The following is a 27,815-nucleotide window of genomic DNA, read 5'->3' on the forward strand; positions in this document are numbered from 1 at the left end:
TACAATCCCAAATAGACTCTTTGGCAGCAGTGACTCTCCAAAACCACTGAGGCATAGACCTCCTCACTGCTGAGAAAGGAGGACTCTGTACCTTCTTAGGGGAAGAGTGTTGTTTTTACACTAACCAGTCAGGGATAGTACAAGATGCCACCTGGCGTTTACAGGAAAAGGCTCCTGAAATCAGGCAACGCCTGTCAAATTCTTATACCAACCTCTGGAGTTGGGCAACATGGCTTCTCCCCTTTCTAGATCCCGTGGCAGCCATCTTGCTGTTACTTGCCTATGGACCCTGTATTTTTAACATCCTTGTTAAATTTGTTTCCTCTAGAATCGAGGCCATCAAGCTACAGATGGTCTTACAAATGGAACCCCAAATGAGTTCAACTAACAACTTCTACCGAGGATCCCTGAACCAACCTGCTGGCACTTTCACTGGCCTAGAGAGTTCCCCTCTGGAGGACACTACAACTGCAGGACCCCTTCATCATCCCTATCCAGCAGGAAGTAGCTAGAGCGGTCATTGGCCAAATTCCCAACAGCAGTTGGGGTGTCCTGTTTAGAGGGGGGATTGAGAGGCCTCCTCGGCCTCGGTGTCCACTCTGGCTGCACTTGAGGAGCCCTTCAACCCACTGCTGCACTGTGGGAGCCCCTCTCTGGGCTGGCCGAGGCTGGAGCTGGCTCCCTCTGCTTGCGGGGAGGTGTGGAGGGAGAGGCGGGGGCGGGAACCGGGGCTGCACACGGTGCTCGCGGGCCAGCGTGAGTTCCGGGTGGGCGTGGGCTCAGCGGGCCCTGCACTCAGAGTGGCTGGCTGGCGCTGCCGGCCCCGGGCAGTGAGGGGCTTAGCACCCGGGCCAGCAGCTGTGGAGGGTGCACTGGGTCCCCCAGCACTGCTGGCCTGCCCGCGCTGCACTCAAATTCTCACAGGGCCTCAGCCGCCTCCCTGCGGGGCAGTGCTCAGGACCTGCAGCCCACCATGCCTGAGCTCCCTCAACACCAGTGGGCTCCCGTGCAGCCAGAGCCTCCCCGACGGGCACCACCCCCTGCCCCTGCTCCACGGTGCCCAGTCCCATCGACCGCCCAAGGGCTGAGGAGTGCAGGCACGTGGTGTGGGACTGATGAGCAGCTCCACCCATGGCCCCAGCGTGGGATCCACTAGGCGAAGCCAGCTGGGCTCCTGAGTTGGGTGGGGACTTAGAGAACTTTCATGTCTAGCTGGAGGATTGTATATGCACCAATCAGTACTCTGTGTCTAGCTCAGGGATTGTAAATGCACCAATCAGCACTCTGTCAAAATGGACCGATCAGCTCTCTGTAAAATGGACCAATCATCAGGATGTGGGTGGGGCCAGATTAGGGAATAGAAGCAGGCTGTCTGAGCCAACAGTGTCAACATGCTTGGGTCCCCTTCCATGCTGTGGAAACTTTGTTCTTTCGCTCTTCACAATAAATTTTGCTGCTGCTCACTCTTTGGGTCCGCACCACCTTTAAGAGCTATAACATTCACCGTGAAGGTCTGCAGCTTCACTCCTGAGGCCAGCAAGACCACGAACCCATGGGAAAGAATGAACAACTCCAGATGCGCCGCCTTTAAGAGCTGTGACACTCACCGCGAAGGTCTGCAGCTTCACTCCTGAAGTCAGCGAGACCATGAATCCACGAGAAGGAAGAAACTCCAGACACATCTGAACATCTGAAGGAATAAACTGCAGACACACCATCTTTAAGAACTGTAACACTCACCACAAGGGTTTGTGGCTTCATTCTTGAAGTCAGCGAGACCAAGAACCCACCAATTCCAGACAAAATTGTAAATATACTCTTTATATTCTTCCTCTCCTGGAGCAGCTCAATAATTTGGTGAAAGTTATGGGGAAAGTTTGATAATTGCCAGAGCCCTCAGGGGAAGTCCCACCTATTAGACTGAGTTTTGAATTTTTTGGAGACAAGCAGGTAATATGCAGGAATGTATCTATGGCACATAACAAACCACTCCAAAACCTAGTGGCTTAAAACAACAACAGTCCTTTATTTTTGCTTAGGAATCTGTTATTTGGGGAGGTCTTAAAAAGGAATCACATCTCTGTTCCACATTTTATTGTCAGGAATGGCTTGCCTGGGCCTGGGGGATCCACTTTCAAAATGTCTCATTCACATGACGGCACCTTGGGGCTGGCTGTAGGCCAGGAGCTCAGCTGGGGATGTGAGCCTTGGGCCTCAGTTTCTGGCTGTGTGGACTTCTCCATGGGCTGCAGTCTTCTTTACAGCGTGGTGGTCGGATTTCAATATTAAATATTCCAAGAGAACTGTACGTATATTGCATTACCTTTTAGGACCTAGCCTCAAAAGCCATATAGCATTATTTTCATTGTAGTCACAATTCTGCCCAGCATCAAAGGGAGGAAACATGGGCTTCCATTTCTAAATAAGAATGTAGTATCAAAGTTATATTATAAGAACAGCATGTGAGATGGGACACAGTGTGTTGCCCATTTTTGGAAAATACATTCTGTCTCTAGGAGATAGGCTTGCAATAAATCTGCCTCTTTAATGTGACTTGGAACACAGTCTGCTGAGCTCACCGATGCCCCTACACACCTCGGCAACTACAGCTACCAGACTGTTTCAGTGCTTTGGGAGTTTTCCATCGGAGGAGAGGCCACTACATATCTATCCACACACCTACCTGGTAGCCACCATCACGACTAACTCATTACAACTGTCACAAGACTTCTTGAGTGTCAGTCCTGCCTCAACCACTGAGTGGCTGAATGGCCTTTCTGTGTCTCAGTTTCTGTGTCTGTAAACTGAGGATGATAAAAATACCTACTTCAGAGGATTGTCTTGAAGACTAAATGAGTTAACTCACCTGAAGACTTAGAACAGTGTCCGTCACAAAGTTAGCCTGAAGGAGTTTCTGCCTCAGATTCACTCTATTCTGTGCCCACCTGCCCACGTTTCCAGAGTAAAGTGAAAGTTGCTCCTGTCCAGAACGGGCCTTCCAAGTGTTGAGGTACAAGTAGCATCAACCAAAGAGTCACATAGGGGAGATCTGGGGCTGACCACTTTCAACTACCTTCTGAATAAATGTGGGAAGTCCTCTTATTTGACCTGTGAGAATGGAAAATGCTTACTTGGATCCTTTTGCACATGGGCTGCTCTTCTCTGGCCAGTGTGCATGGCCTCCATGAACAGAGTGGTGTACTCCACAACTACAGTGCAGGTGGAGAGGCAGATGGCCTCAATCAGGCTACCAAAGTTTCCTCAGAAACCCCTCAGCAGCCAGTAGCCTTGGTTAGTCAAGCCATCATCCAGGATAATGAGCTTACAGGAAAATCACTGGTTATGGGAGGCGAATCAGCCTCTGAGACAAAAGAGGAAGTGACTTCCAGTAAAAACAAGTTAAGACATCAAATAGGAGAAGGACTTCCGCTTTGCCATTCCTTCTCCAAATTCCACTGAAATCACAAAGAAATAGAAAAATAAATTCAAAGCAGCACAGGAAAACCAGAAAAGGTGCTTCCAGCAAACAATATAGAAAGGAATTTTTGAAAAAAATAAGAAACGTGGGAATCAGTAGAGAAATCTAGCAGGGCATAAGAACCTAAAACCATTCAAAGGAACAAAGTACTTTGTTAACTGAAGAAATAACGGAGCCATACCCCTAAGTCCCCATCAATTCCTGGAGTTGCTCTTGGAGCAGCTGGCTCCATTGTTTGGGCTTAGATGAGAGTCATGGGTATAGTTTTCTGACATAGTACAGCAGCCCCACAGCAATGGTATGCTAAATGAAGTCAGTCTCTTAAGAATCTAGTTTGCACATCTCTTCTCAACTCCCCATTCAGTGACTGTTATGTTGCTAGCTTGAAAATTGGCTAGGGTGGGAGATTTTACATTGCATGGAAATCAGGAAATGCTGCAAACTAGGACTTCCCCCACTCCACCCAGAGCTGGCTGTCAAACATTTACCAACATATTACTGTTCCAGAGTAAGCTAAGGTCAGAGGAAAAGGACAATACCCTGGAGGGTCAGGAAACTATTCTAAGAAGAGACGTTACCTACAGAGTCTGCCTATCCCTACCAAATCCCATGAGGCAGATTCTTGTAATCAAAACTTGCATTCACTGCCAGGTAAACATGAGTTCTCATTTGAAGTGAGGAAATGCGTCCAGCTATGAATTTCAGTCTAGACTGAAATTCTGTTCCTACAAATGGAACAACAACAACAAAAGAACCAACAAACATTTGGAGAAACCAAGAGCACTAAAGAGAGCACCAAATTTAACAAATAGAACTAGCCCACTTAAAAAGAATAGTCAATAGAAACAGATAAAAACTTGAAATTAAACATAGTTCAGATCCTCAGAGTTGCTTTAAAGTAAATCACATTGAAACAAGAGACAGCTGCTATGAAACACAACCAGAATTCATGGAAATTTTAAAATATTATTGCGGCCAGGCATGGTGGCTCATGCCTGTAATCCCAGCACTTTTGGAGGCTGAGGCGGGTGGATCATCTGAGGTCAGGAGTTCAAGACTAGCCTGGCCAACATGGTGAAACCCCGTCTCTACTAAAAATACAAAACTTAGGCGTGGTGGCAGGTGCCTGTAATCCCAGCTACTCAGGAGGCTGAGGCAAGAGAATTGCTTGAACCCAGGAGGCAGAGATTGCAGTGAGCCGATATTGCGCCACTGCACTCCAGTCTGGGTGATGGAGTGAGAATCCTTCTCAAAGAAAAAAAAAAATGACTAAATCCAATAATTGGGCTAAATATACAATAACCCTTACCCTAACCTGAATATACAATTAATGAGTTGGAAAATTGAGCTGAGAGACTTTTCCAAAATTTATGCAAAAAAGAAAAAAAAAGAACAAAAGAAAAAGTACAGCAATAGGCCAGGCGTGGTGGCTCATGCCTGTAATCCCAGCACTTTGGGAGGCAGAGACGGGCGGATCATGAGGTCAGGAGATCGAGACCATCCTGGCTAACATGGTGAAACCCCGTCTCTACTAAAAATATAAAAAAATTATCTGGGCATGGTGGCGGGCGTCTGCAGTCCCAGATACTCAGAGGCTGAGGGGGAAGAATGGTGTGAACCCGGGAGGCAGAGCTGGGCAGTGAGCCGAGATTGTGCCACTGCACTCCAGCCTGGGCAACAGAGCAAGACTCTGTCTCAAAGAAAAAAAGAAAAAGAAAAAGTACAGCAATATTAAGAGATACAGAAGATAAATATAACTAAAATTATACAGCTATAGGACTGTAAGAATAAAAGGGAGACAATTATCAAAGAAATAAAAAAAGAACATTTCCCAGACTTGGATTGGAAGAGTCTACTAAATGCCAGGCAGAATTAATGCAAAATCATCTTCTGATCTTATCTAGGTATTAATATGGCAAAGAACATAGGTCTTTACTGCCTAGCCACCCAAAAGTAATAAGAAGAATAAGAAACGGTAATGTCAACTCTATATCTGATGCAACTAGAAGATATTTGAAACTAAAACAGAAAAAAAGTCTGCCAAAAGCAGTGAAGATCAAACAGAAATGTACAGAGCCAGCAGAATCCATGACTCTAACGTGAAGTGCATAGCCTAAGATGAAAAATCAATAATCTCTTTGTTTGCAACAATGGAATGAGGTTCCGGTGGTGGGAACTTTTCTGGACAGTTTGGTACTGAGAAAAAGCTGAGGAAGCGGATTTGAGCAAGAAATATCATAAACTAATCATATTTTTCAGGAAGTAGTCTGTAGTTGAGGAAAGAGTGGGGGAGAGAGTCTGCATTGTGACATCCCATTGGTGCTGATCTCAAGGAGGCTGCAGAGAAGCAAAACATAAAGTTTATTCACACACGTAGCACATAACCCTGTCTCATGAGGAGAGTTTCTGCTGACCATGAATACCATCTTGGCCTCTCTCATACAAAACTCCAGTAAATAGATAAGAACTCACCTTATTTAAAGTTGACCTAAAATAAAATAAAAACTAGCATAGGAACTGTAAAAAAAAGAAAAGATGGGAATACCCAGCCCCCGCCCCCGCAAAACAAATAGTAGATAAAGCATTCTCACCATAGAGCAAATAAAAGTTGAGACTAAACAAATTGTCATGAATTAAAAGAACACAAATCAGAAATATAGGCGTCAGGGAAGATAAGATAAAACATGAAGACAGCCGAGTGCGGTGGCTCATGCCTGTAATCCCAGCACTTTGGAAGACCAAGGCAGGCGGATCATGAGGTCAGGAGATCCAGACCATCCTGGCTAACACAGTGAAACCCCGTCTCTACTAAAAATACAAAAAAATTAGCCGGGCATGGTGGCGGGCGTCTGTAGTCCCAGCTACTCGGGAGGCTGAGGCAGGAGAATCGCTTGAATCCAGGAGGCGGAGGTTGCAGTGAGCCGAGATCGCGCCACTGCACCTCCAGCCTGGGCGACATAGCGAGATTCCATCTCAAACAAACAAAACAAACTTGAAGACGTATTTTTCTTCCTGTTGACGAAACATGAGACAGCAGGGCCTAGAGAGAAGTGAAAAGAATGTTAAAATTAGCGAAAGTGAACATGATGTACAAGCAGCACAAAGGAAAACAGACATTGTTGAAAACACAGTGATGTACACAGAGGGCAGGATTTTTCTTTTTTAAAAAGAAAAACATTTTTTAAGTGACAGAAACTTTTTTTTTGTTTTTGAGATGGAGTCTTGCTCTGTCGTCCAGGTGCAGTGGCGCGTTCCTGGCTTACTGCAAGCTCCGCCTCCCGAGTTCACGACATTCTCCTGCCTCAGCCTCCCGAGTAGCTGGGACTACCGGCGCCCGCCACACACCCGGCTAATTTTTTTTTTTTTTTTTGAGACGGAGTCTTGCTCTGTTGTCCAGGCTGGAGTGCAGTGGCACAATCTCGGCTCACTGCAAGCTCTGCCTCCTGGGTTCACGCCATTCTCCTGCCTCAGCCTCCCGAGTAGCTGGGACTACAGGCGCCTGCTACCATGCCAGGCTAATTTTTTTTTTGTATTTTTGTAGTAGAGACGGGGTTTCATCGTGTTAGCCAGGATGGTCTCGATCTCCTGACCTCGTGATCCGCCCGCCTTGGCCTCCCAAAGTGCTGGGATTACAGGCGGGAGCCACCGCGTCCGGCCGACAGAAACAATTTTTTTGAAACAGGGTCTCACCCTGTCTCCCAGGCTGGAGTGCAGTGGCACCATCATAGCTCACTGTAACCTTAATCCCCCCAGGCTCAGGTGATCCTCCTGCCTCATCCTCCCAAGTAGCTGGGACCACAGGTAGTCCACACCACCACCTCTGGCTAATTTTTTTTTTTTTAATAGAGATGGGGTCTCCCTATGTTGCCCAGGCTTGTCTCCAACTCCTGGGGTCAAACGAACCTCCTGCCTCAATCTCTTAAAGTGTTGAGAATACAGGAATGAGTCATCACACATGACCAAAATTTTTTAAAGTTAGAAAGAATTGAAAGCTGGGCATGGTGCCTCATGCCTGTAATCCCAACACTTTGGAAGGCTGAAGCGGGCAGATCACTTGAGGTCCAGAGTTCGAGACTGGCCTGGCCAGCATGGCAAAACCCCGTCTCTACTAAAACTACAAAAATTAGCTGGGCGCGGTTGCACGCACCTGTAATTCCAGCTACACAGGTGGCTGAGGCATGAGAATTGCTTGAACCCAGCAGGTGGAGGTTGCATTGAAACGAGATTGCACAGCTGTACTCCAGCCTGGGAGACAGAGCGAGACTCTGTCTCAAAAAAAAAAAAAAAAAATCAAGGAAATAAAGTATGACACAATAATTGTACACCCAATTGACACTAGTCAAATTATCATTGAAATAAAAAGGCATCAGGAAACCATGCCATGTTTTACTTTATTTTACACATACTAGGACCTTTGGGGGTGATGTTCATGTTTTTTCCTATCGAGCATATCCAATCCATCATGGTACCTTTAGTTATAGCCCTGTCCCTCAACCTTGATTTCACTACCACCTTTTAACATTTGGGTAAAATGATTCTGATTTTTTTTTCCTTTTAATGTATATTTATTTGTTTTTTTTATTTTTCTGTTTTTCATGTTTCCAACAATATTTATCTTTTTTTAAATAGGTAATACATTCACATAGAACAAAATCCAAGGCCAGCCGCGGTGGCTCATGCCTGTAATCCCAGCACTTTGGGAGGCTGAAGCAGGCAGATCACGAGGACAAGAGGTCAAGACCATCCTGGCCAACATGGTGAAACTCCGTCTCTACTAAAAATTACAAAAATTAGCTGGGCATGGTGGTGCACACCTGTAGACCCGCTACTCGGGAGGCTGAGGCATCAGAATCCTTGAACCCGGGAGGCAGAGGTTGCAGTGAGCCGAGATCGCGCCACTGCACTCCAGCCTGGCGACAGGCGAGACTCTGTCTCAAATAACAAAATTCAAAAATTGCAAAAGATAATCTTTTAAATCCTGTAATCTAGTTCCCTTCTCCAAAGTATCACTGTTACCAGTCTCTTACATATCCTTCCTTCCAGAGATAGGATATGTATATGAAGAAAATACATATCTAATATACATTGTGTATATGTATATATGTAATGTTTACGTATAGGTGTAAAATGTATATATGTGTATGCATACACATATATGTTACAAATACACATATATAGAGATTTTTAAAATGCCAATGGCAGTATATCACGCATTTTGTCCCACACCTTGCCTTTTTCTATTTATTAGTATATCTTGAATCCAGTAGTGTGGTACATGTTTTTAACAACCAGCTGTCTTGCCCCTTTTAGCCTATTCTCCACATAGCAGCCAGGATAATCCTAAACATTAGGTTATGACACTGCTCAGCTAAAAGCCCTCTGATGACTTCCCATCACTCTTAGAATACCACCTGAGGTTTTTCTATGACCTATAAGGCCCTAGCTGATTTGGCCCAACTCCAACTCCATTCTTTTACCACATTCCCTACAACTATTACCCACTCATTCTGCTCAAGCCATACCAACCTCATCTGTTTTTCTGTGTGCTTTTTCTTCTGCCTGGTAGGTTTTGTCTGGTAGACATCACAAGATTTGTTTCCTTCATTTCATTCACCTCCTCAGATTGATTTTCATTAAACTTTAATAGGACCCCCATCACTTCCAGTTCTTCTTAATATTAATAGTTTATAATAATAATTGTTATTATTATTTTTTGAGATGGAGTTTCACTATTTTTGCCCAGGTTGGAATGAAGTGATGCAATGTTGGCTCACTGGAACCTCCCCCCCTAGGTTCAAGGGATTCTCCTGCCTCAGCCTCCTGAGTAGCTGGGATTATAGGCGCCCGCCACCACACCTGGCTAATTTTTGTATTTTTAGTAGAGACAGGGTTTCGGCATGTCAGCCAGGCTGGTCTTGAACTCCTGACCTCAGGTGATCCACCCACCTCGGCCTCCCAAAGTGCTAGGATTACAGACATGAGCCACCGCGCCCGGCCTTATTATAATTATTTTTTGAGACAGGGTTTCACTCTGTCGCCCAGGCTCTGGAGTGCAGTGGTGCAATGACAGCTCACTGCAGCCACTACCTCCTGGGCTCAGGTGATCCTCCCACCTCAGCCTCCTGAGTAGCTGGGACTACAGGGGTGCACCACCATGCCCAGCTAATTTTCTTTGTATTTTTAGTAGAGATGGGGTTTTGCCATGTTGCCCAGGCTGGTCTGGAACTCCTGAGCTCAAGTGATCTGCCCGCCTCAGCCTCCCAAAGTGCTGGGATTACAGGTGTAAGCAATGGTGCCCTGCCATTGTTTTACATATTTTAACTCATTTAGTCTTTACAGCAACTCTTTGAGGTAGATACTATATTATCCCCACTTTACAGACGTGCAAACTGAGTCATACAAATGATTAAATAACCTCCCTAAGGTTACAAAGCTCATAAGTATCAGAGCCAGGATTAAAATCCAGGCAGTTTAATTCCAGAGCCATATTCTATATGGTCATCTCATCTGCTATATATTTTTTAAAAAGTAGTTGTTAAATTGGCAAATAAAAATCTTATATATTTATCATGTGCAACATGTTATTTCGAAATAAGTATACATTGTGAAATAGCTAAATCGAGCTAATTAATACATTACCTCACATACTTATAATTTTTTTGTGGTAAGAAAACTTAAAATCTACTCTCAACAAATTTTAAGAATACAATACCTTGGTTTTAACTATAGTCACCATATTGTGTCATAGATTTTCTGATCTCATCTGCTATTTTTAAACAAGACATTATACTGCTCTTGCCCTGCTTTATTTTTGTAACATAGCACTTACCACTATGCTATGTATCTACTGACATTTCAGATATTATACTATGTGTCTACTTGTTTGTGTTATTTTTGCCTATCATCCCTACTGGGATTTAAGATCTCTGAGAGCAGAATTCAACTTTTCTTCACTGCTGTCTATCACACACCTAAAACAGTGCCAAAACACTATAGGTGCTTGTTGAATGGATGAATGAATGGACATCTATATCTGTAAAGCTATACATACTCCCCCCACCAATATGGAAGCCCCTGTATAAACTGAAAAGTAAGAGATGATGTATTTTTAAGAGTAAAGAAAGAATGATGAATTCTTCCTCCGACTATGATCACCAACACAAACACATGCACCTGCAAAAAAGAGAAAAAAAGAAAAAAACAAGAAAGCATCTACAAAGAACAGTACAAAGCTCTTTGGACAAGATATAAATTACTCAATTTGAAGGATGTATCACTCAGGAAATATGTCGGAAAAAAGAAATATGAGATTATACAGAAGGTAATGGTTTTGCAACTTTCTTTTTTTGGAGGAGATATATTTGAAGACAGCTTTGAATAAATGGAAATAAGTGGTTTTAGCTGGCATGTGGGAAGTAGGAAGGAAAAAATAACATACATTTTCTGGACCTAAATGAAAAAAATAACTAGTTGGTGACAGTTTGTTCTTGAAACACTATAAAGAAAAGTGTATAAAGGCAGATAACATCCAGTGGGATTTTAAGGCTGGAAACAATTTTTTTTTTTTTTTGAGATGGAGTTTCGCTCTGTCGCCCAGACTGGAGTGCAGTGGCATGATCTCGGCTCACTGAAACCTCCGCCTCCCGGGTTCAAGCGATTTTCTTGCCTCAGCCTCCTGAGTAGCTGGGACTACAGGCATGTGCCACCATGTCCGGCTAATTTTTTTGTATTTTTAATAGAGACGGGGTTTCACCATTTTGGTCAGGCTGGTCTTGAACTCCTGACCTCAAATGATCTGCCCGCCTTGGCCTCCCAAAGTGCTGGGATTATAGGCCTGAGACACTGTGCCTGGCCTGGAAACAAAAATTTGATTTTATTACCTTTGGATCTAGCCTGTTTGACCCAGCCCAGTTGCCTCCTCCCTGCAAATAGTTAATGAGAACTCTGTGGCCTTAAGGATTTTTATAAAGAACATTACAACCATTTCTACAGGCTGATATGGTTTTCTGTTTCCTTCTGTCTACAAAAGGGAGTGGTTTTTAATACAATTACCAAATGTCCTGTTTAAGGTAGGTCAGCCTTAGATTTTGATTAGAATCTGAAATTTTGAACAGTTATATTTCTTGCGTGTTTCAGGATTAACAATGAAGAGAGAAGAGACTTTTTAAACAGTAAGATGTAAATATATTTCCTTAATTTTTTTTTTTTTTTTTGGAAACGGAGTCTCTCTTTGTCACCAGGCTGGAGTGCAGTGGCACAATCTCGGCTCACTGCAACCTCTGCCTCCCGGGTTCAAGTGATTCTCCTGCCTCAGCCTACTGAGTAGCTGGGATTCCAGGTGCCCGCCACTATGCCTGGCTAATTTTTTGTATTTTTAGTAGAGATGGGGTTTCACCATGTTAGTCAGGCTGGTCTCAAACTCCTGACCTCAGGTAATCTGCCCGCCTCAGCCTGCTGGGATTACAGGCGTGAGCCAACGTGCCCGGCCTCCTTGACATTTTTATAGGATTCTTACTAGTTAGCATTTATATTTACCTAAAGCACCTAGTTAGGGAGAAGGTAACCAAGAAAGGGACCTCTTTATGGAAAGAATGTGGAAACTGAGGAAGACCAGATCCACCAGTTAAAAACAAAAACCTGTAAATAAAATCCCTGGGTGGCCGGGTGCGGTGGCTCATGCCTGTAATCCCAGCACTTTGGGAGGCTGAGGTGGGTGGATCACGAGGTCAGGAGTTCAAGACCAGCCTGACCAACATGGTGAAACCCTGTCTCTACTAAAGATACAAAAAATTAGCTGGACGTGGTGGCGGGTGCCTGTAATCCTAGCTACTCGGGAGGCTGAGGCAGGAGAATTGCTTGAACCTGGGAGGTGGAGGTTGCAGTGAGCCAAGATCATGCCATTGCACTCCAGCCGGGGCACCAGGGCCAGACTCCGTCTCAAAAATAAAATAAAATAAAATAAAATAAAAAATAAATCCCTGGGTGGATGAGTTTAACTTTCACCCTTCACCATTCCTCGTCTTTTGACCTGTTTTGTTGCTTGAGGCATCGCTTCCTCCATAACACTTTATTCATACCTCTCTTGTACTCCTAAATTAACAGTAGTTTCCCATTTACTTGTTGTATGACCTTGAGCAACTCATCTAATCTCCTAGATCATATTTTCTCATTTGTAAAATTGGGGTAATCGTTGTGACCTCACAGGGTTAGTATGATGATTCAATGAGATAATACATGAAGGATGCTTTTAATATGCAGAACTACAATAACCTATAGTTCTTATTTTTTCCAACCAATTGACCAATAACCTATTAGACTTACTAGAAATCCAGAAACACCCTCTTAGAACTCCACTTTTATTCTGGATCTCATATTCTTTCCTCTACTCAAGGACTTCATCTCTATAATTCTCTCTCTTTTCCCCCCTCTTTGGTTCATCCTCTCTGGAACTCAAATTGCTTTATTACATCTCATCTTAATGCTTACTCCCTCCCTTTTATCACTTGTTCTCTTCAATACCTGCCTATTTTGCTGCTTCATTTCATAGCAAAACTTCTTGAAGGAATTGTTTATACTTTTTGTCCTTACTTCCTCTTCTCTCTTCAACCCACTTCATTCAGATTTATGTCTCCACCCCTTCAAAGAATCAACACTTGCCAAGGCCACTTCCAACTGGCTAAATCCAATGGTCATTTCTCAGTATTTGTCATGCATCAATCACTTCTTAAAACACTCTCTACTCTTGGCTTGAATGTCATCTCTTTTTCTTGGTGTTCTACTTTACATTAATCTCTTTTCCTGGCTTATCCACTTCTCCTAACCTCTAAATGTAGGAGTGCCCCAGGGCTTTTTCCTCAGTTCCACAGGCTCTCTATCTCCCTCCCTTCCTCTCTCCCCTTTCTTTCTATGTGATCTCATCAAATCTCCTCTATTCATGCCAATGACCCTCCAGTTTACGTCTTGAATCCAACCTCTGTCCTGGGCTCCAGAATCATATATCCAATTGCCTGATAGACATTTCTACTTGTATTTCCATTAGGCCCTTCAAATTTAACAAGTCCAAAGTAGAACCACTGAGTTCTGGCCAGACGTGGTGGCCCACACCTGTAACCCCAGCACTTTAGGAGCCCGAGGCAGGTGGATCACTTGATGTCAGGAGTTTGAGACCAGCCTGGCCAACATGGCGAAACCCGTCTCTACTAAAAATACAAAAAAAATTAGCTGGGCATCGTGGCGCATGACTGTAATCCCAGCTACCTGGGAGGCTGAGGCAGGAGAATCACTTGAATCTAGGAAGCAGAGGTTGCAGTGAGCTGAGATCACACCACTGCACTCCAGCCTGGGCGACAGAGTGAGACTCTGTCTCAAAAATAAATAAATAAATAAAACCACTGAGTTCTCTCTTTCTCCAAACCAGCTCTTCTCTACATTTTTCTATCGTTGTGGCACCATTCACTATACACCTAGTTGTTCAGGCACAACTTCTAGGATCATCTTTGATTTCTTTCCTTCCCGCCCTAAATCCAATCCATTAGCAAGCTCTGTCAGCTTTACCTTCCAAGTAGAGCTTGAGCCTGATAACTTCTTACATTTCCACAGTTGTCACCCAGTCCCTGCCATCACCTTCCCTTGCCAGGTCTATTATATCCATCTTTGGAGTGGCCTCTCAAATATTTTTTCCACTACCCTTCCTTTCAGAGAGCAGTCAATGTGATTTTTTTTTTTTTTGAGATGGAGTCTTGCTCTGTTGCCCAGGCTGGAGTGCAGTGGCACGATCTCGGCTCACCACAACCTCTGCCTCCTGGATTCAAGCAATTCTCCTGCCTCAGCCTCCTGAGTAGCTGGGATTACAGGTGTGTGCCACCACGCCTTGCTAAGTTTTGTATTTTCAGTAGAGACGGGGTTTCATCATGTTGCCCAGGCTGGTCTCAAGCTCCTGGTCTCAAGTGATCCGCCAGCCTCGGCCTCCCAATGTGCTGGGATTACAGGTGTGAGCCACCGTGCCCGGCCTGAATGTGATCTTCCTTAAAACATAAATCAGATATCATTCTGCTGCTTTCAAATCCTCCATTGGCTTCCTATGGTGCTTAGATTACAAACTAGCCTCTCTCTGACTTGACTCTGCTTTCCTGTCTGATTTCATTTCTGTTCTTCTTCCGTTTGATCACTGCACTCCAGCCAAACTGGCCCCCTTTTCATTTACTTGAACAAATCAAGCTCACTGCTACTTCTGGACCTTATTGTTGTTGCTTTAATGTGGACTACTCTGCAGATCTTTGCATGGCTACTTCCTTTAGCTCATTCAGGTCTCTGCTCAAATGTCATGTCCTCAGGGAGGCCTTTTTGACCATTCTAGGTAAAGAAGAAGCCCCCTCTCCCTACTACAACCTATGTCAATTATACTGCAAGGCATGTATCACTATCCCAAAAGATATCATTTATTTAAATCCTTTTGGTCTGTCTCTGTACACTTAAGTGCCATGAAAGCAGCACAATTATTTGTCTCATTCACCATTGTATCACCAGTGTCTAGAAGAGGGCCTAGCTCAATACAGGTGTTCAATAAATGTTTGTTAGATAAACAGTGAATAGGACCACTGGTACACTGTGTTCTGTTGAAATCTGGTGCTACAAGGTGTACAGAAAGTGCTGGTCCATTGGTGACTCATATTCAGTGGCTCTTCAGGGGAGTAGCTCTTCAAGTCCACTTCCTCCATTCTTAGCTAAGCCAAGGGTGCTTCTTGCTTGGGCTCCTATTATTACAATTTCTAGTGCCCTGTTCTTCATAAGCATCCATCTCCTAGGGAGCTAGCTGGCTCCAGGACTGAGTTTCAGAAGTTGCTCTGGACTCTACTATTCCATGGACCCCCAAATCAGTGTGCTAATGGAGGATACCCTGGGTGAATCCAAGGCAGTTTCCTGTCACTTTCCTTGCAGAAAGAAAGGAGGGAGTTGAAGGGAAAAGGAGAGAAGGAAAGAAAGAAGGAAAATACAATAAAAATACAAATTACATTTCTTTGTGGTTACGTTTTGGAACAGTGATTCATTAATTAATGCATTTAACAAATGTGTATTGCTTGCCAACTATGCGTCAGGCACTCTTCTATGCACATTATTGCTATAATTGCCATGATCTCTATCATCTTCATCATACGTCTATATTAGACTGTGAATTTCTCAAAGGCAGAGATGGCCAGGCATGGTGGCTCACACCTGTAATTCCAGCATTTTAGGAGGCCAAGACGAGAGGATTACTTGAGCCCAGGAGTTCAAGACCAGCCTGACAACATAGGGGGATGCCATCTCTACAAAAAATAAAAAATTAGGTGGGCATGGTGGTGTGCGCCTGTGGTCCCAGCTATTAGGGAAGCATAAGTAGGAAGGCTTGCTTGAGACCAGGAGGTTGAAGTTGCAGTGACTTACGATTGCGCCACTGTACTCCAGCCTGGACAACACAGCAAGACCCTGTCTCAAAAAAAAAAAGCAAGCAGAGACAATCTTTTCATTGTAACAAGTGCATAGTAAATGTCTACTGCCTGAATGAATGAAACAGAGGAGAGAGTTAATGAAAGACATTAAAGAAGATTAGGCCCAGTTACATTTATATTCAGACAAAAACATAGAACGATTGTTCTTTAAATTGTACAATGTTATTATATTAAATTTTAAATGTCTTCCATGTTTTACATTTGTCTATTTAACATACTTTTTTTTTTTTTTTTTACATATTTGTAATTTTTCTTTCTTTTTTTTTTTTTTGAGATGAAGTCTTGCTCCATTGCCCAGGCTGGAGTGCAGTGGCATGATGTCGGCTCATTGCAATCTCCTCCTCCCAGGTTCAAGCAATTCTCTTGCCTCAGCCTCCTGAGTAGCTGGGATTACACGCAGGCACCACCACGCCCAGCTAATTTTTGTATTTTTAGTAGAGATGGGGTTACACCATGTTGGTCAGGCTGGTCTCAAACTCCTGACCCTGTGATCCGCCCACCTCGGTCTCCCAAAGTGCTGGGATTACAGACGTGAGCCACCACACCTGGCCCATATTTGTAATTTTACAAATAAAATGTATGACTCAACATATTTGTAATTTGACACCTTCTGTCTTTCTACTTAACATTAATGACAAACATTTTTTAGTGTTTGTTTTGATTTTGGTTTTTGTTTGTTTGTTTGTTTTGAGACAGTGTCTCGCTCTCTTGCCCAGGCTGGAGTGCAATGGCACGATCTCATCTCACTGCAACCTCCACCTCCCGGGTTCAAGCAATTCTCCTGCCTCAGCCTCCCAAGTAGCTGGGATTACAGGCGCCTGCCACCACGCCTGGCTAATCTTTTGTATTTGTAGTAGAGATGGGGTTTTGCCATGTTAGCCAGGCTGGTCTCAAACTCCTGACCTCAGGTGATCCACCTGCCCTGACCTCCCAAAGTGCTGGAATCACAGGCGTGAGCCACTGTGCCCAGCCCTGAGTGTTTCTACATTATCATTATCTTCATGGCTTTCTGTAATTTAGTAATTTCTCTTATTTTTGAAGCATTGTTGGGTTCCCTGTGGTCACTAGCAATGCAGACCCTGGAACAACTGGTCAGGTGTTTGTGCTTCTTCCACAAATGACAAAATGAAGGAGCACCCGGGAAAGTACATCTCATTCTGGAGGAAGAGATGGCACCACATGAGGAGCAGGCAGGGAGTCAATCCCAGGTGCACTTAGGAGAGAAGAAAGGCACATCCACCTGGTAAGCCGCTCTGAAATGAGTAGCGTGCAGGGTGATGTTGAGCTCTATTCTGCAGTTCGATCAACATGCTTCTACCTCTCGGCCCTCACATAGCAGCCTGCCTGGCTGCCATCTGCCAAGCTTTTGCTTTCCTTTCTGTTTTGCATAAGGCTTTTGCTTTTAATATGCTGCTACTGAGTACAGAAAAACAAGAGCGTACCAGACTTCAGGGATCTGCCTGTTTCTTTTCTGCCTTTTAATAGAGCTTAGCTCTTTTGCCACTTGTTATTGTCAAGTACAACATGAGTTCAGAGAAAGAATACTGCACCTGACCGGGGATGGATGCCACGCCTTGAAGAAATTGGCAGGAAACAGAAGAGGTTTATAGGATCTTCTCTTCTGCCACTCCCATCTTGGAAACAAGTGGAAGTACATTTGCAAAATTATATTGAAAAAAATGAGAAAATGCATTTTTCTTTATAGTCAACCCTTCTGACATGGACCTAGTTTCAAATGAAGTTATGAGGAAATGGCCCTTATGACTAAATGTTGATTCATGTGCTGTGAGCTGTGAACCCAGGATGAGAAATGGGAGGAAATCAAACTAAGGAATGGAAAGGGGGAAGTGCTCTGGGTGCCTTGCCTAAGAGACTGAACCCTCAAATCTTGGAAATAAACCATATTTTGTAAACCAGATAATTTAGACTTAGGTTATTTTGTGTGTCTCTTATTTGGTATCATTTATCAAGTTATGTTTTAAAAGTCTATAGCTTTGGGCTATAACATATATGCTTAGGCCAGAGTTTAATGGGGATCAACAGCATCCCTGGAAGCCTATATCTCTTCAGCAGGTATCGAGAGAGATCCTAAGAGAAAGATGATTCTGGTAGCGGTGACACCCAAAAATCAAAGTCCAAATTGAGTAGGGGCTCCTTTCCAACAGGCAATCTCTTGCTACAGTAAATCTTGGATGTTATTTAAATTTTATTTTATTTTTATTTCACAAAGTACACTAAGGCCAGGTGTGGTGGCTCATGCCTGTAATCCCAGCACTTTGGGAGACCGAGGTGGGTGGATCACCTGAGGTCAGGAGTTCAAGACCAGCCTAGCCAACATGGTGAAATCCCGTCTCTACTGAAAATACAAAACTTAGCCAGGTGTGGTGGCGCATGCCTGTAGTTCCAGTTACTCTGGAGGCTGACGCAGGAGAATCACTTGAACCTGGGAGGCGGAGGTTGCAGTGAGTCAAGATTGCACCACTGCACTCCAGCCTGGGTGACAGAGCAAGACTCTGTCTCAAAAAAAAAAAAAAAAAAAAGTACTCTATCCTTTAAGAAGTACACTCAAGCCCACAAGAATTCTTTTGAATATATTTAAAGTAACATGAGAAAATTAAATAAAAAACTTAAATAATGATATTTTCTACAAACTCTAGGATCAAGCACCAATTAAAGAGGATGAGTAGGCTGGGCGCGGTGGCTTATGCCTGTAACCCCAGCACTTTGGGAGGCCCACACAGGCGGATCACTTGAGGTCAGGAGTTCGAGACCAGCCTGGCCAACGTGGTGAAACCCCGTGTCTACTAAAAATACACAAATTAGTCAGGCGTGGTGGTGGGCATGTGTAGTCCCAGCTGCTTGAGAGGCTGAGGCATGAGAATCGCTTGAACCTGGGAGGTGGAGGTTGCAGTGAGCTGAGATCGCACCACTGCACTCCAGTCTGGGCAACCAAGCGAGACTCTGTCTCAAAAAAAAAAAAAAAAAAGAGAATGTGTAAAAGATAATGGAATTATTACATATTCAAGGTCTCATCTACCTTGACATTTCTATGATAGATGTCATCATTCATTCATTCACTGAACATTTACTGACTCTTAAGTGACAGGTATTATAGGCAGTGACTTGTACACTGTTGTTATCTATGTTGGTTTTTAATAATTTCAAAATGAAATACATTTTGATAAGCAAAGTCTAAGAGAGTGTGGCACAAACACTTTAACGCATATAAGCTCGGTGGCTCATGCCTGTAACCCCACCCAGCACTACCCACTCAGGAGCTTATCTATGCTCTGCCAGAATGTATGTTCATCCCTGGAAACCTCACTTGAGAGTGCAGAAGGAGGCTGATACCATCCACGCTCTTCCTATACTACACAGTCTTGTCTGAAATTTAGTCACCTTAATCACTGTTTACTATAAAGTTCCACAACTTAAACATCAGGCAATTACAGGATATGGTGTTTCGGCCCTAATGAACCTTGCAAATACCTGAAATACTCAGAATACTTATTTTCATTCCAGATCTACTCCTAAATTTAAGGGGAGCAGAAGAATGCGAATGAAGGCCAGTAACTATTGTGAATACTATACTAAATTGTCTGTAGGTAATAGCCACACATTGGAACACTAACAAAAGGAAAATGTATGCTTGATACTACTGAGAAACAATACTTTGTCATGCAGGAATCTATAGCATTCAAGCTGAGATGAAGGATTTGACAAGTTAATTTGTCTTCTCTCTTACCTAAGCATTTCTGCTGCTCAAATTCTGACTCCAAAGCAGTCTCTGAAATGGGCAGCCATGCTATGTACAAATTTTCACTGCTTTTGGAGTTCACCGTTTGTTTTGAGGACAGAAGACAAAAGATAGGAAGAAGAGTTTTCCTGGGGCCTGAATAGTGTTCTTCACTGGGAGAGGGAATTTATGGTTATGAGCCAGTGTTCAGTATCAGATCACAAGCGGCAGGGGCACCTATTTTTTTTTAAATTAATGTGTGTGTGTGATATGTAAGTTCCTTTAAAGCATGGAGTCCAGGATAGAAGTCTCTCTTGCCCAGGTCTAAGGGTGCGGGGGGAAGGGGGGGGGCGCGGCGGTGGGAGGGAGTACTTTAGTGATACTAGGAATTTAATGCCAAATGTATTTGCTGTGTGACCTAGATGGCTGAATTTTTTAAAAAGTTCTTCAGCATCGAGAAAAATCCAGTTAGACCGATAGCTTAGAGAGCTGTAGCTTATTTCTAAATTTGACTTTCCCTAAAACTAAGTGTAAATGTCAGTGATATGAGGACTTTTTAAAGAAACAAAATAAAGAAACAAGATACACAAAAATAGAGCAACTATGGCCAATCTTGTTTCATCCCTTTTCATCTATGACCTTACTCATACCCCTATCCATAATAAATGACTTTCAGCAAATCCTAGATGTTCTGCATCCTATATCTTTCTAACAGATATTCTTAAAAAGTATGACCACAATACCATTATCCAATTATTCCTTGTTCAACAAGCACTTACAATTTCATCCATGTGAAAGGCACCTCATGATTTTTACTTGAGGATGAAGATAATTTCTCATGAATTCTCATTGTTTTAAGTCACCTGAAGAGGTGTGATATGCTACAATAAATCTATTTGTAGGGCTTGGCTTCAAGAACTGAAGATTCTGGACCTAGCTGATCTGGTGACAGTGAACTTGAGACCTCTAATAGCGTTTAACTATTTTTTTTTAACTTTTGGAAAGCAAGGTGTAGGAAGGGGATTTAGTTTTTCCATTAGGTCGTGGCATGTTAAGACTTGTTTCTTTTTCCAAAATGTTCAAGTTGCTGAAGAGAACTATGGACTATGGGTCAGGAAGTCCGTCGGTTTCGGGTCACATTCCGCTCCCGCAGGCCTGCGGGCCGCCCCAGCTGGTTTGTTCCCGGCGTGTTAGAGGTCAGAGGCCGAGGCCGCACTCAGTGCCTGGGTCTCGCGCAGCTCCAGGGCTCTCAGGCGACACTGGGCGTTTCCTTTCCGGCTTCGGAAAGTTTTGTTTTGGTTCAAGGAAAGGCGCCCTGTTGACCAAAGGCTTCTCAGTCTCCTCCGGGTGGCCAGCGGCCAAGTTTCCTCCAGCCCAGCGAGTCCAGACTATAGTCCGTTCGAGATCCTCGAAGGCCGGGGAAGCGAGTCTTGTGAGGAGAGAAAGCGAGTGGGCAGCCAGCCTGCCGACTCCACTGCCGCTGGCTGGCCCTTCTCTTCCCTCTGTCCCTGGGCCAGTGCCCGTCGCACCACAAACAGTGCGAGCAGTCTCCCCGGTGACTCCTCAAGGACCCAGTTCTCCACCATTCCTAAGAGAACACTCAACCCAGCCGCGCCCGGGATGCAGAGAGATCTACCAACACCCGAGAATGGGGACAGGGCGCATGCGCACACCGTGGCCGTGGCGTCTAAGTGCTCGCCCAGCTGCGGCAGCCGCTAGGTGGCGCATGCGCCCTGGAAGGTGCGGGCCGGTCTCTGGGAAGAAGGCGGCGGCGGCGAAAGGCGGGGGTGCTGTGGGGGCCGGGCCGTGTTTACACAGCGGCGGGCGGGCGCGGACGCGGAACCCGGCGCGGCGGCGGCACGATGGTCATGGCGTATTTCGTCGAGAATTTTTGGGTAAGCTTAGGATGTTGGAAGTCGTGTGTTTCGAAGTCCAAGGCTTTTGGCGCCTGAGCTTGGCCTGCGTGCGCTTCGGGCGGCGGCGGCGGCCCCTCCGGCAGGGCGAGCGTCCTCCTGCCGCGTCCCGCCTGGGTGAGGTCCGGCGGGCGACCGGTCGCCAGCCTATAGGGACTCCCGGGCTCGCAGCCCTATGGGGACGGGGGCTGTCACCGCGGCCCGGGGGCCCGCAGCGGGGCCGCCGGCCACCGGGGCTGGGACAAAGCGCCGGATGGGGCGGGAGACGGGACCCAGCCCCACCGGAGGCTCCCGGTGCCGCGCTCCGCGCGGGGCGTGCGCGGCAGCTCGGACGCGAAGGACGGGCCCGCGGCACAGCCGCCTCCCGCTGCGCGCTGGCTGGGAGCGCCGGGCGGTGGGGTTTTGCCTCCTGCCCTCACCGCGGGCCCCCCATCTGAGCGATCCCTTTTACCTCTGACGGTTTCCACACCAAATCCAGTGCGGGGTTGGGCTGGACTAGCACTTCCTCTCAGCCTCGCAGCTCGGCTCGTGGGTTTGCGCCCAGGACTTTGCCTCTGGGCCTGTTCACAAAGCGTTTAAAAGTTGGATTTAATGTAACTGGACTCCTTGGGCTTAAATGCATGGAGACCTCCCCCTACTCTGTGCTCCTTCCCCTTCCTCATTCTTTCCACCCCTTGTCTTAGCTCAGTATTAGATTCTTCTTTGAGAATTTCTCCGGCTCCCGGTGGAGTATTTTTCTGCAGTTATTGTTTTTTTTTTTGTAATGGGAAGTACAGTTCAGCCATGTACAGGAAAGGAACGTGTTTACTCAGGTATCTTTCGTGAATCCCATTTTATGCCCTGACAGTTGCAAGTACTGCAGGTCCATTTTCGTTGAGATTTAGACATATTTAAAGGGGTAATCTTTTAGCTAGTAAGGAATGTATGTTAAATTCTTAATTCTAAGTGCCTCAAGCATGGTCTTGGTTAGTAATCAGATCAGTTCATAGTTATTTATTTGTCTTGAATGTACCTTGTTTTCCACAAAGAACGTATATACTAGACCTTAGGTGTTTTGTTTTTTAAACAGCTTTATTGAGTTCACATTTCCGTACCAATACACTCATTTAAAGTGTAGTACAATTCAGAGGTTTTTTCATATGTTCATAGAGTTGTGTAAACATCACCATATCAGTTTTACAACAATTTCGTTATCCCAGAAAGAATCCCTAGACCCATTAGCAGTCACTCCCCATTTTCCCCCTGCCCCAGGCCTAGGCAACTAATGTATTTTCTGCCTCTCTGCATTTGTCTAGTCTGGACATATCCTATAAATGGGGCCATGGTGACCAGTTTCTTTCACTTAGCATAATGTTCTCAAAGTTTATCCATGATGTAGCATGTATCACTACTAATTCCTTTTTATGGTCAAATAATATTCCATTCCACATTTTATTAATATTTATCCAATCAGTGATGGACATCTGGTTGTTCCCACTTTTGGGTTATGAATAATGCTGCATGAACATTTTTGTACAAGTTTTTGTGTGAACATATGTTTTCATTTCTTTTGGGAATGGGATTCCTGGGTCAAATCGTAGCTCTATGTTTAACATTTTGAGGAACTGCCATACTATTCTGAAGTGGTTGTAGCATTTTACAATCCCACCAGCAATATCTGAGGGTTCCTCTCCACATGCTCACGAACACTTATTTGTCCTTTTTATTATAATATAGTGAGTGAACGTGAAGTAGTATTAATATTTTATTGTGGTTCGATTTGCGTTTCTTTGATGCTTAACATCACAGTTAATGTGCTTATTGCCTATTTTTATATTTTCTTTGGAGAAATGTCTATTTAGATTAATTGCCCATTTAAAAATTGGGTTGTCTTTTTTTATAATTGAGTTGTAAGAGTTTTTTTTTTTTTAATATTCTGGATACACACCTTATCTGATACATAATGTGCAAACATTTTCTCCCATTCTGTGGCCTGCCTTTTCATTTTCTTGATGCTGCTCTTTGAAGTAACTCATAAGTTTTTATTTCTCGTGAAGTCTTGGTGAAGTCCATCTTATCTATTTTTTTCTATTACTTGTGCTTTTATTGCATCTAACCCAAAAATTATTTGCCTAACCCAAAAATTACGCCTTTTTTCTTGTTTTCTTGTAAGGGTTTTATAGTTTTACTTCTTCTGTTTAGTTCTATGATCCATTTGAAGTTAATTTTTGTGTATGGTGCAAGGGAAAGGTATAACTTCATTCTTTTGCAATTGTGTATCCAGTTGTCCCAGTACCATTTGTTGAAAAGGTTCATCTTTCCCCGTTGAATTGTGGTACCATTGTCAAATATCAATCGACCAGAAATGTATGGATTCATTTCTGTATTTTCAATTCTATTCCATTGTCTTCCCTTACGACAGCCAGTAACACACAGTTTGGATTGCTGTTGTTTGGATTACAAATTTGTTTTGTATAGCAAATTTGGAATCAGGAAGTATGAGTCCTCTAGCTTTTTCCTTCTTTTTCAGGATTATTTTGACTGCCCTGGGTTCCTTGCATTTCCAGATGAATTTTAGGATTAGCCTGTCAATTTTAGGCATTAGGTTTTACAATGGCAATTTATAAAATGTTTTAAAGAGCATTTAAAAATTGATGCTCTTGTAAATGTTATGCATATTTTTGATGCATGAATGTTTTTTAAGTTGCTAACTTAATTCCAAATTGCATCTTCACATTAAAAGTTATGTTTCGTTTTCTGTTAATTGAGCTTTGAGCATAGCTTTGTTTGATGTTTTTGGCTAATATGAATAATACTTCTCTGAATATCTTTCTACACATTTTTATGTGCTTCTTGGGTATTCTTGTTACAAGAGGGATGGGAATAAACTTCAATATTTGAATTCTGGAGAGACCTCCAAATCTAATTTATGTTTTAGTTTTTGCCTTCACTTTCACTATTGAAAACAAATAGTTAATAGACTGCATTTTATTTTATTTCCTGGCTTGGAATTGGGGCTGTGAGGAGGCTCAGTGAGCTAGGAAGGTCTAGGAATTAACTAAATAATTAACTTCCGAGAATTTATAGTTGTCATTTTAGGCTGGGCATGGTGGTTCACTCCTGTAATCCCAGCACTTTGGGAGGCTGAGGCAGGGGAATGGATTGAGCCCAAGAATTGGAGACCAGCCTGGGCAACACAGTAGACCTTGTCTCTACAAAAAATTTTAAAAAATTAGCCAAGTGTGGTGGCATATGCCTGTAGTCCCAGCTACTTGGAAGGCTAAGGTAGGAGGATTGCTTGAGCCCAGGAGTTCAAGGTTGCAGTAGGTTATGATTGGTCACTGTACTCCAGCCTGGGCAACAGAGTGAGACCCTGTCTCAAAAACAGAAAACTAAAAATTCACATATTTCAGGATCATTTATAAAATAATCCCTTAAAATAGATATTAATTTAACTCTTCCCTCTAGCATTTAAAGTGGAACTATTAAAAGGAAATAAAATTGTCAAAATTCAAAACATCGTGCTCTATATGATAAATATATATGTTTTTCATCAATTAAAAGATAAAAACTTGTCAAAGTGAGGTAGTGAGAACCTTTGATGTTTTAGGTCTGTCTTGTCTTGTCTTCTCTTCTCTCTCTTCTCTTCTTTCTTTTTTTTTTTTTTTTCTGAATTGCAGTCTCACCGTGTTGCCTGGGCTGGCACGCAGTGGCACGAGCATGGCTCGCTGCAGCTTCAACCACCCAAGCTCAAATGATCCTCCCACCTCAGCCTTCCAAGTAGGTGCGACCACAGGTACAGGCCACCATGACCAGCTGGTTTTTAAATTATTTGTGGAGATGAGATCTCGCTATGTTGCCCAGGCTGGTCTCGAACTCCTGGGCTCAAGCCATGTTTCCGCCTCAGCTTCCCAAAGTGCTGGGATTAAAAGGCTGAGCCACTGTGCCCAGCCAAAGTTTTAGGTTTCTAATCAAACAACCTATTAATTGTTTTCTCCCCTACATGTATAAAGACAAACCTTTTTTGTTGTGACATTTCATTAGAAGAAAGTTTGAATCGTTGAAACTCTCTTCAAGCTCTTTTGAAAGCAGCACATTCTTCCTTTTTCTTTAAAGTATAGGTTTTCTCAATTGAAACTATATGCTAAATTGAAAATTCCTTTACTTAATACTGTACTTTGAAGGAAAAATTATTCAAAACCTTTTACAGAACAGGTGTTTTGTTATTGATAAGTCAGTTTTTGCCACGAAGTATAGCACCATTGATAATCAAGCTGAAATTGGACAGCAAAATTAAAATTGGACGCAAAAATAATTTTACTAGTAGAAATTCACACCATTGCTTTTAATATGTAAAAACAATTGTTTTTTATCTTTATTTTTACATATTAAACATTATGTAACTTTAAAAAGATATTATAAAAGATTATGTAACTTTAAAAAGATATTGATCAGTATTACAGTGAGGAAGTGTCTAAGCCGCTGCTTTCTCAAAGGAATAATTGAGTACAAGTTTATAATAGTCTTGAGATTATAACAACATTGCTATGTAATAATTAAAATGGCATTATATTTTTATGTAAACCCAGATTATTCAGCAAAAAAACCTTAATGCATTTCATAGGTAATTATTAATGGGGGACAAATAAGTATGTAAAACATACCTGAGTTGAATAGCTTATAATCTTCATTTTACAGAGTAATCCCAATCTATATACGATATGAAGCATTCACCCAAAGACACTAAGTAGTATTCTTTAGTATATATCACATTGTAATGAGCTGAGATTTTTAGTTAGGTGACTTTTTCCAGAGGTTATCTATAGTCAGCACATAAAAAATGAACAAACAACAATTAGGTATTTTTATCCTGAAGTTTTTCCTTATTTCTTTTACTGATTAACTGTACAGAAGTCTCATTTCACTTGATTTTATTGGTTTTGTTACATTTTGATTTAAAATTAAATTGAAACATTGGTTATATACCCAAAATTTGATTTATCATTACTTGGATAAGCTAAGAGAATTAAAATGTATTTTAAAATTCTGGAATTGCTATTAATAGGTCTTTGGGATAAAAAACATTATTATATTTTTGCTTGATTAATCTAAACTTAGTATCCTAGATGAGAGACTAACACACATTCTTTGGGGTTATGTATCCATATGAAATTTTAAAATATATATCTTTAGCAAATTAGTTTAGGTGACCATATTTGAAACCCAGAATAAAGGCTTTTCATTACTTGAAATTTCCAAATATTGTAGTTTGGGATACCTGTTTTTAGGATATGATCCCATCAGATGACATACCAAAACAAAATCTATATATCTGTATATATTTACTTTATACATTAAGAGATTTGCAAATTTTACATGGTTTAATATTTAAAAGGTATAAGAGGGAGTAAATCTTCTTTTTCTCTGGTAATCAAGATGTCCCTAAAGGCAATCACCATTACCAATTTCTTTCTTTTTTTTTTTTGAGACGGAGTTTCGCTCTTGTTGCCCAGGCTGGAGTGCAATGGCGCGATCTCAGCTCGCTGCAACCTCTGCCTCCCAGGTTCAAGCAATTCTCCTGCCTTAGCCTCCCTGGTAGCTGGGATTACCGGCATGCACCACCATGCCTGGCTAATTTTGTATTTTTAGTAGAGATGGGGATTCTCCATGTTGAGGCTGGTCTCGAACTCCTGACCTCAGGTGATCCGCCTGCCTCGGCCTCCCAAAGTGCTGGGATTACAGGCATGAGCCACCATGCCCGGCTTCACCATTACCAATTTCTTATATGGTTTTCCACAGATGAGACCAAATAACATACACTCCACTAGGTTAAAATTATTATTGTATAACTTTTAGCAAGTTAGCCAGGCCCAACTTGTTCCCATTGCAACAAGCTGTGAAAATGAAGACTACAGATTCATTTAACTTGATGCAGAAGACTTGACAGTAGACATTATAAAATTATAGTGTTTTAGATTGCACTAAAATTTGAGAGGCCCTTAGAATTTTTTAAGGGGTGTGATTTGTTTTATTTTTTAACCTTAATTATAGGAGAAATTTGGAAGTGAAAATTGGTACTGATTTAGTGTGTATATATGTTCAGTTCAGGGGGAGGATTTTAGAACTTTGACATTTGAAAGGATATAAATTTGATGTCTGCGTTCTTTTTTAGCTCTACACACTAAATCCTAAATGCTGTAGTCCTTTCAGAACTACTTAAA

The 27,815-nt window shown here is 42.9% G+C and overlaps 1 protein-coding gene and 1 long non-coding RNA gene across 11 annotated transcripts in view, besides 1 other annotated feature; one reads left to right on the plus strand and one right to left on the minus strand.

Annotated features, from left to right (window-relative positions):
* Positions 1-2,002: 2,002 nt before the first annotated feature.
* Positions 2,003-21,352, minus strand: FCHO2-DT (FCHO2 divergent transcript). 2 transcript variants are annotated; one of them, NR_186391.1, is made up of 3 exons: positions 20,482-21,352; positions 6,070-6,518; positions 2,003-3,455 (listed from the first exon to the last, which is right to left on the minus strand). It is a non-coding gene; the product is annotated as an FCHO2 divergent transcript (long non-coding RNA). The 2 variants fall into 2 exon arrangements; NR_186392.1 differs by having other exon boundaries at positions 2,003-6,518.
* Positions 21,402-22,101: a silencer, noted in NCBI's record as "silent region_16086". NCBI's record gives its function as "represses an Ori minimal core promoter by ATAC-STARR-seq in GM12878 lymphoblastoid cells {active_cell/tissue: GM12878}" and the evidence as "EXISTENCE:reporter gene assay evidence [ECO:0000049][PMID:35858748]".
* The window catches only part of FCHO2 (FCH and mu domain containing endocytic adaptor 2), a 134,482-nt gene continuing 128,175 nt past the window's right edge, over positions 21,509-27,815 (plus strand). For all 9 annotated transcript variants that reach the window (NM_138782.3, NM_001146032.2, XM_017009016.3 and 6 more), the window contains exon 1: positions 21,509-21,597. In NM_138782.3, coding sequence (NP_620137.2) covers positions 21,565-21,597 — 33 coding nt within the window. In that variant the 5' untranslated portion in view covers positions 21,509-21,564. The remainder of the gene's footprint in view (positions 21,598-27,815) is intronic.

Source organism: Homo sapiens, chromosome 5, assembly GCF_000001405.40.
Source record: "Homo sapiens chromosome 5, GRCh38.p14 Primary Assembly".
NCBI lineage: Eukaryota > Metazoa > Chordata > Mammalia > Primates > Hominidae > Homo > Homo sapiens.